This window comes from Homo sapiens, chromosome 2, assembly GCF_000001405.40.
Source record: "Homo sapiens chromosome 2, GRCh38.p14 Primary Assembly".
Lineage (NCBI taxonomy): Eukaryota > Metazoa > Chordata > Mammalia > Primates > Hominidae > Homo > Homo sapiens.
In genome coordinates, this window is record NC_000002.12 from 128765295 (window position 1) to 128779035 (window position 13741).

The 13741-nt window shown below is 47.8% G+C and overlaps 4 annotated features.

The window, feature by feature from the left end:
- Positions 691 to 1203: an enhancer, noted in NCBI's record as "H3K4me1 hESC enhancer chr2:129523559-129524071 (GRCh37/hg19 assembly coordinates)". NCBI's record gives its function as "activates a minimal SCP1, AML or CMV promoter by ChIP-STARR-seq in naive and primed H9 embryonic stem cells {active_cell/tissue: H9 hESC(naive and primed)}" and the evidence as "EXISTENCE:reporter gene assay evidence [ECO:0000049][PMID:30033119]".
- Positions 4904 to 5442: an enhancer, noted in NCBI's record as "H3K4me1 hESC enhancer chr2:129527772-129528310 (GRCh37/hg19 assembly coordinates)". NCBI's record gives its function as "activates a minimal SCP1, AML or CMV promoter by ChIP-STARR-seq in naive H9 embryonic stem cells {active_cell/tissue: H9 hESC(naive)}" and the evidence as "EXISTENCE:reporter gene assay evidence [ECO:0000049][PMID:30033119]".
- Positions 5443 to 5981: an enhancer, noted in NCBI's record as "H3K4me1 hESC enhancer chr2:129528311-129528849 (GRCh37/hg19 assembly coordinates)". NCBI's record gives its function as "activates a minimal SCP1, AML or CMV promoter by ChIP-STARR-seq in naive H9 embryonic stem cells {active_cell/tissue: H9 hESC(naive)}" and the evidence as "EXISTENCE:reporter gene assay evidence [ECO:0000049][PMID:30033119]".
- Positions 10561 to 11760: an enhancer, noted in NCBI's record as "BRD4-independent group 4 enhancer chr2:129533429-129534628 (GRCh37/hg19 assembly coordinates)". NCBI's record gives its function as "activates an origin of replication core promoter dependent on BRD2, P300/CBP, MED14 and CDK7 cofactors, and independent of BRD4, by STARR-seq in HCT116 cells {active_cell/tissue: HCT116}" and the evidence as "EXISTENCE:reporter gene assay evidence [ECO:0000049][PMID:35650434]".

Sequence of the window (13741 nt, forward strand, 5' to 3'; positions counted from 1 at the left end):
AGTTTTTGTGGGGGCACTTTTGTTGTTGTTGATGATGATGCTATTGTTGTCACTTTCTCCTTATTTGTTTTTCAGTAGTCAGGTCCTCTTCTATAGGGCTGCTGCAGTTTGCTGGGGATTCACTCCCGTTCCTGGAGATGTCACTCAAGGAGGCTGGAGAGCAGCAAAGATGGGTGCCTGCTCCTTCTTTTGAGACCTCTGACCTTGAGGGGCACCAACTTGATGCCAGTAGGATTGCTCCTGCATAGGGTGTCTGGCAACCCCTGTCAGAGGGTCTCATCCAGTTGGGTGGCATGGGGAGCAGGACCTGTTTAACGAAGCACTTTGTCCCTTGGTAGAGAGGGTGTGTTTTGCTGGGGGGAAACCCACTACTCTGGATTGCCTGGATTCCTCAAAACTACCAGGAGGAGAGGCTAAGTCTGCTGGTCTGCAGAGACTGTGGCCACCCCTCCCCCTAGGGGCTCAGGCCCAGGGAGATCTGAATTCTGTCCCTGAGCCTCTGGCTGGAGTTATTGGAGATCCTGCAGGGAAGCCCCACCCACTGAGGAAGGATGGATCAGGGTTAGGCCTGAAGAGGCACTCTGGCTGCCGACTGCCACAGCTGGTGTGTTGGGCTGTGGGGACAAGTCTTGGGACCAAGCCGTTCAGCCTCCCTGGCTCCAGCAGGAGAAAAGTTCAGCCTGGAGCTATAGAAACGGGCACCACCCTTCCCCCACCCAGGGAGCTTAGTGTGTTAGGCAGTTATGAGTCCCAGTGCTGGCTGCTGCCCCTCCCCCAAGAAGCTCAAACCTTTAGACAGCAGGCAGCTGCAGCTGGTGCTGGTCACCCCTCCCTTCGGGAGTTCGGTGGGCTTAAGCAGATTCCAGCTGAGAGACTGTAAGAATCTGTGGATTCCAGAGTTGGGACGCTTGGCCCAGGTGGCATGGGTTTGAGGGTGGGAACTTCCCATCCATGGGTTGCACAGTTCCGTGGAAAAAGCACAGTTTCCCTTGCTGGGTAGCCCGCTCACTCACTGCCTCCCAGTCAATTTTGATGAGAGAACCTGGATACTTTGGTTGCCAGTGAAGGATTCACACGCTTATTATGGTTTTTCTCTATGGGAGCCTCTGACTGCCACTGCTTTTAGTCGGCCATCTTGAACCTGTCCTCTAAGTTTTAAAATTACTAATTTGATCTCCTTACTTGCTATAGTAGACTACCTGTTCCTTTTTGTGTGTTTCTTGAAGGTTGTCCATTTCATCCAGGTTATATAATGTGTTGCTTTATGGTTGTTTATAGTGTTCCCTTATACTCTTTTTTTTTTTATTTCTATAAAGTCTTAATTCTAGTGATTTGAATCTTCTCCCTTTTTTTCTTGATCACTCCAGCTAATGGTTTGTCTGTAATGTTGAGAACCAACTTTTGGTTTGATTGAATTTCTGTTGTTTGTTTCATTTATCTACATTCTGATTTTCATGTGCTTCCTTCTATTTGCCTGGCATGTATGTGGTTTGCTCTTGTCTAGTTTCTTTCTTTCTTTCTTTCTTTCTTTCTTTCTTTCTTTCTTTCTTTCTTTCTTTCTTTCTTTCTCTTTCTTTCTTTCTTTCTTTCTTTCTTTCTTCTTTCTTTCTTTCTTTCTTTCTTTCTTTCTTTCTTTCTTTCTTTCTTTCTTTCTTTTTTTTCTTTTTTTGAGATGGAGTCTCGCTCTGTCTCCCAGGCTGGAGTGCAGTGGCGTGATCTTGGCTCATTTTAAGCTCCACCTCCCGGGTTCACGCCATTCTCCTGCCTCAGCCTCCTGAGTAGCTGGAACTACAGGCACCCACCACCACGCCCGGCTAATTTTTTTTTTTCTTTTGTATTTTTAGTAGAGACAGGGTTTCATGGTGTTAACCAGGATGGTCTCGATCTCCTGACCTAGTGATCCGCCTGCCTCGGCCTCCCAAAGTGCTGGGATTACAGGCATGAGCCACCACGCCTGGCCCTTTGTCTAGTTTCTTAAAGTGAAAACATGGATTGTTGATCTGTTATCTTTCTTTTTTTAAATAAATAAGTTTATATATTAAAAATGTAGCTATAAATTTCCTTCTGAGCACTGCTGTAGTTGCATTCCATAAATTTTGGTGTATTGTGTTTCTATTATTATTCATCTCAAATTATTTTCTAGTTGCCTTTTTGATTTTTTTCTTTGATCCAGTGATTATTGGGAATATTTTTCTTTAGTTTGCTCATACTTAAGAATTTCAAAAATTTCCTTTTATTATTGATTTGTAACTCAATTCCATTATGACAGGAGGACACACTTTTTACAAATTCAATTATTTTGTAGTTACGGATATTTGTTCTATGGTTTAACATGTGGCCTATTCTGGAGAATGCTCCATGTGCACCTAAAGAGAATGTATATTTGGTGTTATTGGGTGTAATGTTTTCTAAATGTCCATTAGATCTGGTTGGCTGACAGTGTTGTTAAAGTCTTCTATTCCGTGCTGATTTTTGCCTAGTTGTTCTATCCACTGTTAAAGGTGGGGTATTGAAGTTTCCAATTATATTTCTGAGCTGTCTATTTTTGTGTATTCTTCCCTTCATTCTTTAGTTTTTTTTTTTTTTTTTTTTTTTTAATGTATTTGGGGCTTTGTGTGGGTGTTGAGGCATAACTTCATTGTGATAATTTGCAACTCTGTCTTGGCCTTCACTTCCTGCTAGTGCGGGGCCTATGTTCTGCCAGAGGTGAGAAGTTAGGGTCTTTTCAGATCACTTCCAAGTATGCACACTTCCCTGTATATGTACATGTCCTTCTAGACCCTTAGGAATATGGGTCAAAGTCATCATGGACATCTTTTCCCCAGGTCTTCCTTTTAAGTTTTTGGCCAGATACTTGTTTGCCCCAACTGTCATCACTACTTCAGTGACAATGTTAAACAACTACCACTGATTATTTTTGACAGATGCCCTGGGGTCAGGGCTCTTTGCACAGAGTGAGCTCCGGAGTCAGGTCAGATAATGATAGGCCCTCCAGATGGGACTTTCTGAAGCCCTTCAAACTCTGGCTGACCCCTTTAGTTGCTGCTGTGATGATGGTTTTTACAACTACTGATATTGCAAGACTGCTGATTTTCAAGGCTACTGGGGAGCTGGGGAGAGAAGGCAGGGAATAGAGCAAGTTAAAACCACAAGGCTAACTATTCTTACTGAGATGCAACCAGTTTTCTTGGATCGATACTTCTTGCATTGTTGTAAGCTTTTGGTTAATTTTAAGAGTCCTGAAAAAGTTTATTTTGTCAGATTCTCATTGATTTTACGAAGGAGTAGATTTTGGAGGCCTTTCACCACCATTCCAGAAGTTCCTTATATCACTTTTATAAAAATATTGCTAAATATCAAGGTATATTGCATTCTTGAGCAGGAATGCATGCTTAACTCCAGAGGCCTGGAAGATTATCTTAGACTATAGGTTCTAGAATATAGGAAAACCTTCCAGGCCTCTGGAGTTATGCATGCATTCCTGCTCAAGAAAGATCTGGCTTTCATCTCATTTTTGATCCAAGCTTCAGCTGATTGGCTGCCTGACTCAGGGTTTAAGGAGGTTTGCTCTACTGTTTGACATATGTTCCTGCGAGGAGCTGAACACCCATATCCATTAGTGGAATATGAGTATTGGTTTAATGTGGACACTTTGCAGCCTTGGTTGGACCTCTGGAGTTTCATATTTACTGTTCAAGGCACTATAGTAAGGTCAGAATGAGCAGGGCTGGGTTCACAAAGAAGGAGAACAAGTAGGAAGAAGAGAAGGGGGAGGGGGAATAGAGGAGAAGCAAGAGAAAAAAACCACACACCTGTATTCGATTCTGGAAATTGTTTATGGAAGGATTAGATGTGATAAAGTGTAAAACGAAATCTTGAAACCATTGTGTCCTGTATAAGTAATACAACTTACTACATTAATCCTAGTCTTAATGGGAAGTCCAGGGCTCCAGAGTTAAGAATGTGTGGGGTCCCTGGAGAAGGCAACCATCCTGAACAAGCCATCTAATAGTTATTCTTCCCCTAGAGAGGCTTTTAGGAGAAATCAACCAGGTACAATGATCAAAGCAAGAGAAAGAATACGTAGCCATGTAATGGAAAGAAAGCCAGCAGCATCTTAAGGCCTCCTGTTTGTTTGTTCTTTCATTGGCTGAGCAGGAGCCGGACACTGTGTCAGATGAGGACTCAGAGTAGGCAGCAAGCAGCCTAAAGGAGTCTTGATGAGGATGTGGTCATCAAAGCCACTGTGGCTAGGCATAGAGCAGGGGCCCCTGGGGCAGTGCGGGGCAGGTGCTGGGTCTGCGGCCGAAGACCTGCTACAGGGGAGCTTTGTGTTAAGACATTAAGGCCAAGGTGGAGACACTGAGGTGGAGCTGGGCAGGTGGGAAGAGGCAGCGAGAGGCATGGAGATAGGGAGCCAGTGCATGCTTGGACTCTTTGAGGAATGCAGGTCTCACAGGGTGACTGGGCACAGGGTTTGACAAGGCTCCTGGAAGCTGCAAAGACATAGGCCACCATGTTGAGGAGTTCAGACTATGGTGAGTGACTGGAGATATGAGCAGGGAGTGATGTGGCCAACACAAACTTAAGGATTACCCTGTCCTGGAGCCAGTGTGAAGGAGAGGTGGAAGGCAGGCATGGTGAGTGCAAGGGCGCCCTGAGAGTGTGCCACCATGGTGGCTTACAAAAGCAAGATACAGCCCAGGCCCAAAGGGCTGTGGGACAATGAGAGTGGGCGGAGGGGCAGGTGTTGAAGAAGAGACCATGGGGCAGTGGCTGCTGGATGTAGGGAGGAAGCAAAGGGAAAAATGTAGGCTCATGTCTAGAGCTCCAGCATGGACAGCTGGGTGGATGACGCGCCAAGCTTCAAGACCAGGAATCAGAGGGAAACTCAGGGTTAGCAGGAACATCAGGAAATACATACACTCTGTGCCATTTCAGTGGCTGGCATGTGCAGCCTCGTGCTGAGCCCTGAAAATGCGGTGGCACCCCCAGGACCCAATGGGCACCTGCACAGGGGAGATAAGCACACAGTGTCAGGGGTGCCCGGTCAGGAGAGCCCTGGTGGTGTGCCCAGGCTCGGAGAAGAGACTCTGCTCAACTCTCCAATTTGGTCGGGGTGAAGAGTGAGTATAGCCTGGGGGGCTGTGGGCCAGGCCAGAGCTGTGGCAGGGCCAGCAGGAAGAGCGTGGTACTTGGGCAGGCCAGGCCAGAGTGTTGGGCTTGGTACTGAGTGTGTGCAGTGTGGGCATGGCTGGAGCCCCACAGCTGTAGCATTCCGGTGGAAATGTTCTGCAAGCCTTAGAAGATACAGAGGACAACTTGGAGAAGACTCCTCAGTGGGGGATCCAGATCTGGGATTTATCCATCCGGAGGTGCTTGCAGCCACGGCAGGAGTGAGACGAGGGGAACGTGGCATGAAGAGGGTGCCCCAGGGAGGCTGTGCCAGGTGCAGGCTTGAGTCAGCTCAGGCGTTCACAGCCTGCAGGAGGGCAGGAGGTGCAGCGGTGAGGCCTGTGCTTGCGCTCTGCTGTCTGCCTCCATCATCATCCCCCTGCACCCCTTTCCCACTGCCCGAGAACTTGGCACCCCCAGCATCCTCTAACGCCCAGCCCTGGTGGCTTGCCCTGATGCTCAGTTCCCAGCTGGATTCAGGGGCTCCTGCTCAGGGGTTCCCACAGCTCTCTGAACACAAGTTACTCTCAGGCCACAGCTGTTTGTCCACACCAGGCCATCTTGCAGGGCTGTGACCTTTTTGCCAGCAGGGCCTGTGTCCAGGCTGAGTGCTGAGGAAACCAAAATATTTCACCTCAAAATATGCTTCTTTGATATATTTCAAGACGGCTATTCAGAAGGGCTGCGAATGCAAGAAGAATTGAAAAGCTGGCTATTGAGGGGAGATTTGCATCTGTAGAGAATCTGCATCGATGCAGCCAGGCTATTCTCAGAGGCCTCCATTATCCTATCAAGGAGAGATTAACCAAGAATCTGACATCCACAAAGGTCCAAAAGAAACATTCACCATCTATGCTGTCTGAGGGCTGCTATCTGTGAGCTTTCACCTACACGAGACCACCTTTGTCAGCTAGACCCCGCTCCCCCTCCAGTAACGTGATTTAGCACCATAACCCATCTGTGGCCATGCTTGAAGCCCCCATTTTCTTCCTGTTTTAGCCTACAGCTGCCTCCTTACTATTTTAAGTTTGGCCTAAAGGTTTCTCTGTAAGTGTGAACTGTACCCTAACTGGATGTGTGAACAGACATAACCTAGTCTTGTACTAATCACTGAATTTCAGCAAATCACAGGTGGCCAACTATTCAAACTGCATTTAAATAAGGCAAAGCTGAGCTGGGACCAATCTGGCTGTTTCTGTACCTCACTTCTGTTTTCTGTACGTCCTTTTCCTTTTTTTATCCATGAATCTCTGACCACATGGCAGGGCTGGAGTCTCTCTGAACCTATTCTAATTTGGAGGTGAGGGGCTGCCCAATTTGCAAATAGTCTTTGCTCAACTAAAGTCTGTTAAATTTAATTTGCCTAATGTTTTTCTTTTAACATTCTGTAACCTCAAGATGGTAAAAAAGCATTAACCATCTTGTCTTTCTTTGAGATGTTTGTATGACTCCCAAGCACATGAATAAAATGTGTGCATGCCATTTCTCCTGTTAATCTACCTTTGTCAGTTGGTTTTCAGTGAACCTTCCAAGGGTAAAGGGAATGTTCTTGGCCCCTACAGCATGGTGCCCACGAGCAATAGGTGACTGAGGAGTATCTGAGTTGGATATTTGCCACCTGCACCATTAGGCAAGAAACATGTAAGCTGTCCAACAAACACACCTTTTCCTTTCTCTTATGTCTGTTGCAGAAATGGATTTTTTAAGGATGGGTACAAATTATATCTTAAATATACCAAGGTAAGGGACCAGGAAGGGACACTCAGTATCTACCACCCTGCAAACACCGTTTTAGGTACTTGTCTTAAGGGCTGAATGCAGGCTTGGCTGTAAAATTTGCAGGGCCCAGTGCAATGTGACAAACAGAGCTCTTCAGTAATTACTATGGATTTCAAAACAGGAATAGTAGAGCATTAAACCACATTGGGCCCTTCTGAGCACTAACCCCTGTGGCAGCACAGGCTGCAGGCCCATAGAGCTGGCTCTGGCTTACCTACAAGGACATAGTTAACTTTTTTTATGGACTCAGAGAAGATAAGTAACTTGACCATCGTTGCCCAGTAAATGAACCATGTAGCCAAGATTCAAACTTAGAAATTCAAACTCCAGAGTCCTTGTTGTTCTCTCAAATTCTGTGTGATGAATATTTTTCATAAATGGCATTAGTTGTAACTGTATGAAATTTCCATTTTTGAAGATGAAAATGGTAGATTATTGGCAATTTCATATGGTTCCATTTAACACAGTCCCTTTGATCACACTCCTCTCTGTGTGTGGGTCAGTTCAGCTTACTTAGAGTGAGGCCGACGAGGCTGCTGGCTGCATCATTCCGCCTGCACTGGCATGGGGCTGACCACAGCCTCTCAGCCATGTGCTGGAACTGTGTGTGACTGTTGGAGGTCTCTATCCCTGTCATGTGCAAGGTGGCCTGTGCCGATTTGCCCCCTTGGGGCTCAGTGGAAGGCTGGGCAGGGACCAACACTGCTGCTTTTGGGTAGGACATGGCTGTCTGTGGCTGAGGGTCTGGTGTATAGAAAGTGCTCAGGAAATGTTGTTGGATGTTTCAAATCAGTGATTTAAAGGCTCAAGAACAGAATATGCACTGCTGAAATACAGGTAAATCAGTCATCTAGAGATTATGGAAAGCAGTCTGGCCGTATGTACCGCAGGTCTTAAAGTCTTACTGAGCTTCTGTCTCGTCGTCACCATCCTGAGAAGTTAATCTAAAATGAGGACAAAGTTTTAAGACTATCTGTGTGTTTTCAGTTCTTATTGATAATAGTGAAAATGGAGGACAAACTCGATGTGCATTAATAGGTGAACCACAAAGGAAATTAGGGCACATTCATTTGATGGAACATCTTGGAACTTACATTGGATGATGACCACTGGTTGTTTTATAAGATGGAAAAGCACTTACATTATGTAATGTTTTCAGGAAAAAGCAGAATGGGATAAGTATGTGAAAAATTAAGTAGCATTATTATATGTAACAACTCAGTCTTGAAAACTTATGAAATAGATTGAAGACAACTTATTAAAGATCAACATTAATATTGACTTGGCCTGGGATTGCGAGCAATTTTCTTTTACTTTTAGATTTTCTGATGTTCTAAATCATTCAACGAGGGTGAATGGCTCATGTCATTCGCATAGGGAAAGAAGTGGACTTCGTGGGCCCCTCTCTCCCTGAACCTGCTCTGGCCCTGCATTGCTGTCCTGGGTCCTGGGGCCTCCTCGTCTCTCTTGGCGGATTCTCTGTGTGCCCTGTGTGCACCCGCTGCTCATCCTCCTCGTCTCTCTTGGCGGATTCTCTGTGTGCCCTGTGTGCACCCGCTGCTCATCTGACCCCTGAGTTCCTGAGGCCTGGATCATGGGCAGTGGCCTCTCCCCCTGGGCCCTGGAACTTGACCCCATCTGTCCAGGCTGACCATAGGGCCAAGCGTCCCTGAGCCACAGCGTCAGTGACTCCGGACTCTGGCCATCCTTGTCCAAGATTTTCTTTGGATCTAGCCAACTTTTGATTATGACCATGCAGCAAGTCTTCACACCACAGCCTGGCCCCATCAAATGTCATCCAATCCAACCCAGCAGCTCCCTTCTGCGCGGATGGGGAGAGATGTAGCAGGAGTGCCCTGGCAGAGAACAGGCTTTGGGAGAAAACTGCTGACTTAAGGAGAAGATGGATGAGCTCGGATGGGACGTTGAGCTTGGTATGGTTTTGAAACAGAAAGAAAAGCTGCATCATCAGATTTTAATGACATCAATAGGAGGCCACAGGGACTGGGGAGGATGTTGGGCTCGCCAGTTGAATGGCCTCGGGGAGCTAATGAACTGCTCCTATACCCAGGCATTGCATCTTTAAGAGCTGGCCACAATTCTTAATTTGCAGAGCTTTTGTGATGAATAGAAATGGCATTGGTGAGAGATGAGCTAGTGGTCTTCCAGATGAACTGGTAGTTATCCCATGGCTGGCTCCCAGGGCCTCTGCAGGCACCTGTGCTGATACACTAGCCCTTGAGGCCATCAACACCTAGGAACAGTGCATTTCTTACTTATTGGGTCTGTAATTCCTATTGCAAAGTGCACAGCCTTTCAAACCAGTTAGGCAATCCCTGCCCCTCCCAACTCCTTGATGAATAAAACACATGTCCCGGCTTATCTGTCTCAATGCATATCTATTGCCCCAGCAGAGTTATTAATAGCACCTCGTAGTTATTATTAGTGCTCCAGTTTGGATAATAAGTTATATGAGTTACTTGGCCACCCTACCTATAAATGCATGAGGCCATAGAGAGCAAGGACCCCCTTCTGGAGTGCAGCCAAGGTGGAACACACCCATCCCTGCAACAAGCAAAGCTCACTTTGGGATGGAGGGAGGCTGGGCTGTGGGCACCTGGCCAACCTGGGCCTCTGCCTTCCTGCTGGATGGTTCTCTGAGGGCTATCCACATCTCACCTTGCCCCTTGCTAACAGTTGGCCCCATGAGCAGAATGTGGTGGGACCCTGGAGGTGGGAGAGACCCCTCCGGGTGTTCTGGTTGCGTGGGATGGTTGAAATGCAGTGGTCAGTGAGGGGGCTGGAAGGGAGGCTATATTTGCAGTCAGCTGCAGCCCTAGAGGGTCTACTGTGAAAGGAAATGTGGATGCGTCAGGCTGTCCACGCCCTGTGTTGTCCCCCAGCTCTGGCCTGGTGGCCTGTGCAATGTGGGGCAGCCTCGCTGGTCCTGCAAGGCTGGTCTGTGTTCTGTCAGGGGAGGGAGACACTGTGCGGGCTCAAGTTTCCACTCCAGACAGAAAGAAGCAGGAGCAAAAAAAGGTATCTGTCATTTGATGGGGCTCCCTCAGGCAGAGCCATTTATAGTTGTTAGAAAAGGGGATGGAAGAGATGGAAAGGCTGCCAAATTTTCCACCATGGAAGAGACACAGGGAAGGGGCTGGCCCAATCTGAGAGCCAATAAAGAAGTGACAGGCAGAGCAACTGTGGGAGGTGAAAGCGGGGAGCGATGGTGAGGCCTGGGGAGAGGGTTGTGCAGTGGGCTTTAGCTCTGGTCCCTGTGTGCACCTCATAAAAAGACCCAGGGGACAAGGCCAAAAAAGTGTGCCCACGGCAGCATGGACTCTGGGCAAGGACACTCTCAGCCCTTCAGCACATTTTGCAAGGGCTTCTGTGCCCTGAGCTGAGACCCTTTGAAATAAAGAAGATGGGAGCGAGGCTTGGTCCCCGTCCTGCACGTCCACGCCAGGGCCATCGCTGTCCCTGTGCTCTAGTGCCTGTGTGCTGGAAAGACGGAGGTCTGTGGCTCACATGCACTAGCTGACAGTGGCAGCTGAATGACATCTCCTTCATGCTTCTAGACTATTAGACATCCAGAAAACTTCATTTTGTTTGTGCTCCTGACAGGACACCTGTGATCAATGAGCTGGAGTGAGGCTGTGCCAACCGCCAGCTTCCCTGGTGACTGTTGGGGCAGGAGGCTTCTCAGTGAGGCAGGAGGCCTGGTTGCAAGGGGTGCAGAGCACACCCCCAGCCAGGCTCTCCAGGGGGAGTTTCTGCTTTAAGTCCATGTTGTCTGAGTTGTCCTCACTCCTGGGGCGACAAACATGCTCAGTGCTGGTGAGTGCGCAGAAAGAGCGTGCCATGGTTCTAGCTCCTGGAGGGATGAGTCATAGTAAAATGAGAAAATAGAGGTGAGTGGGCATGGTACTGTGGCACAGGGGGTGGGGCCTCAGGATGGCTGGACATAGTGCAGCGTGCACAGGTGACATTGTCTGCTCTCCACTGTATGTGTTCTTGGTCCCCCAGCAGAGTCCCCCAGAAGTCCCTTTCAGAACTGGGCTCCTGGAACATGCCTTCTAAACATCATTTCCTTCTCCTCACAAGAAGTGCCATCGTAGTCATGCTCTTGCTTAAAAGAATGTCTCTCCAGCTCAGGCTGAGCACGTGAGACCTGACTGCTTCACAGGGGAAGCCCCAGGGACTGGCTTCCTGGGAACAGCAGGGCGTTTGCAAACGTGCAGTGTCTACCAAGGGGTCTTGGCATCACTATACCCACCTGAAGAGCCCATCCTGACGACATTCCGTCCCCTCAGACCTGGCATTTGCAGGTCCATTTGGGGCACTGGCATCCTCCAGGCATCAGTGCCATTAACTCAGACCAGCCTCTCTCCACAGGCCACCTGTGTAACCACTTACCTTCTTCCTGAAACACCTCCCATCCATTCCCACCACAGTCGGTGATGCCGGCACCACTGGCTTCTAGAGGCACTTCTGTTCCCATCCACTCTCCACGTGGCTTCTAGAAAATGGACATGTGACCTTTTCAATGCCTAGTTAAGACTCTCCCTGGGCTCACCTGGCTTGCAGGATCAGCTCCCAGCTCCTGCGAGTTCCCTGTCCCGTACCTCCGGTTTCTAGCCCTGTGTCGGGGGCCTGTGCCAGGAGGGCTCAGTGAATGTTTTCTGTGTGCACCAGTAGCTGAGCGGGGTCTGTGGGCACTCTAAATGCATGTCTGTTGATGTAAACACTCATAGCCTTCCTGTGGCCTCCATGCCGACATTTCTCCTGTTTAGATTAATGGAGACTGTGCCTCTGTGCCTGTGACCGCCTCTCCCCTGCAGAGTCAGCTCCTATGGAGCAAAAAAAGAGCTTCATTCTTTGCAGACAAGCAAGAGGACACTCTGCTAATAGGCTCTGGAAGAAAACATGGCCAAGTCTCAGGGCACGAGATGGATGAGGCTTGGCTGTCCTGTAGAACCTTTGGAATGGCCTCGTTGCCGGCTGAGTTGGTGTCACATCAGCAGCTGCTCTTCAGGCCCAGGAGACAGAGCGTGGGGGCACAGGATGGGGGTGCAGGGATGGTCCTTGGTCCACAGACTTGCTCCAGGCTCCTGTGCTTGGGTCTCTCCTCCGTGCTCCATGTACTTCCTGCATCGGGGCTCCCTCCACCACCTCCTCCCCTCCGTCTTTTTCATAAATCCAGCTCAGGCCTCTGTCCTCTTGGATGCCCTGGCCTTTTCACAAGAGGGGTCGCTCCCTCCTGTGAGTGCCCATAGCCCATAGTCTGTGCTTGGTTTTGGCAGGAGCAGAGCATTTACTCTTCCTCCCCACCTCCCTCCTCCCTCCCTCCCTCCGTCCCTTCTGCAAGCTGAGCACCTACTCTGTGTTAGACACTGGAAGTACAGAAGTGAGGATGTGCACCTGCCACCGCTAACCAAGAACTGTGGGAACACAGAGGTGGGGTCCCCACCTACGCCTACAGCACGGGAATGCCAGGAAGGCTGTGTGGAGGAGCAGAGGTCTGAGCTGCATATCTTACATGAACAAAGGGCAATGAGTCACCAAGGCATTGGGGTCCATGAGCAACACATGCTCTGAGATGCAAACACACCTGGCTCGGTGTGGCAAGGCCAAGCTGAGGGAAGAATCTGCAGGGGCCCGAGCATGTGGACTGGGCCCCGGTGTCCCTGAACGCCCTGATGAGCATCGCGTCTCACACTTAAACGTCTCTCACAGCACCGTGCACATTGCGGATGTACCATAAATACCTCTGGGGGGACAGGAAGTCACGTTCTGGCTCGGGAGGGCTGAGTCCACATTCTCGAGGTGGAATTGTGTAGTTATGAGGCACGTTTCACACTGTTTAAAATAACTTGTATATTAAACAAGTCGTACTTCACATTGCAGGAGTCAGACAATAAGAGAATATAAAAACCAACTATAATCCTACAACTTCCAAATCATTGACTAAAAAATATGCATGAATTGGAGGTAAAGAGTAGCAATCCATTGTTTCTTTAACCAGGATTCCCTTGACTATTAGGGAGTGGAAGCCGTCTCATTGTTTTCTATGCCACATAGAAATTTCTTCTTTTATAAGCTAAGCATTTGCTTCTTGTCTTTTTCTTATTGATTTGCAGAAAGTCTGTACATTGGGCAATATTAACAATTATGTGAACACAGCAAATATTTCCCTAAATGATGTTTGTCTTTTAACTTTATAATTTTGCATTTGGCTACTCAAATGTATTTACTCTCAATGCAGTTGAATCTGTCATTCTTTATGATTTTGTCTTTGGTATCAGGTTTAAAAATATATCTCAGCCTCGCAGAATTGCCTATGTATCTGTTAAGTCATTCTGTGGCTCTGTTTTTACATTTAATTATTTAGTGCCTCTGTAATTTGTTTAATACATGCTAAAAGGGTGAGATCTAATCTAATTTATTTGCTAAGTCAATTGTTTAGATAAGGCAGTACCTTTTCCCCCTCAATATTGTACTGTTTCTTATTTTTTTTCTCCTGCTTTGTTCACGGGTGAGATTTAGAACTATTTTATTGAGTTCTGAAACTCCTCGTTGCTAATTGCCTAATTTCCATTCTCTTTTTCTAGACTCCCTCATGGCATAGATGGACATGTTGACTCAGTTCTTACCAATGAGATAAAGTGAAATTTTTCCCACTAGGCTACCAGAAAAAACTTTGTTTTCTGATAAAAAAGGGACATATTTATCCGGTGTGCACCTTTTCCCCTTCTGTCCTGCCTGGAATGTGGCTGAGATGTCTGGA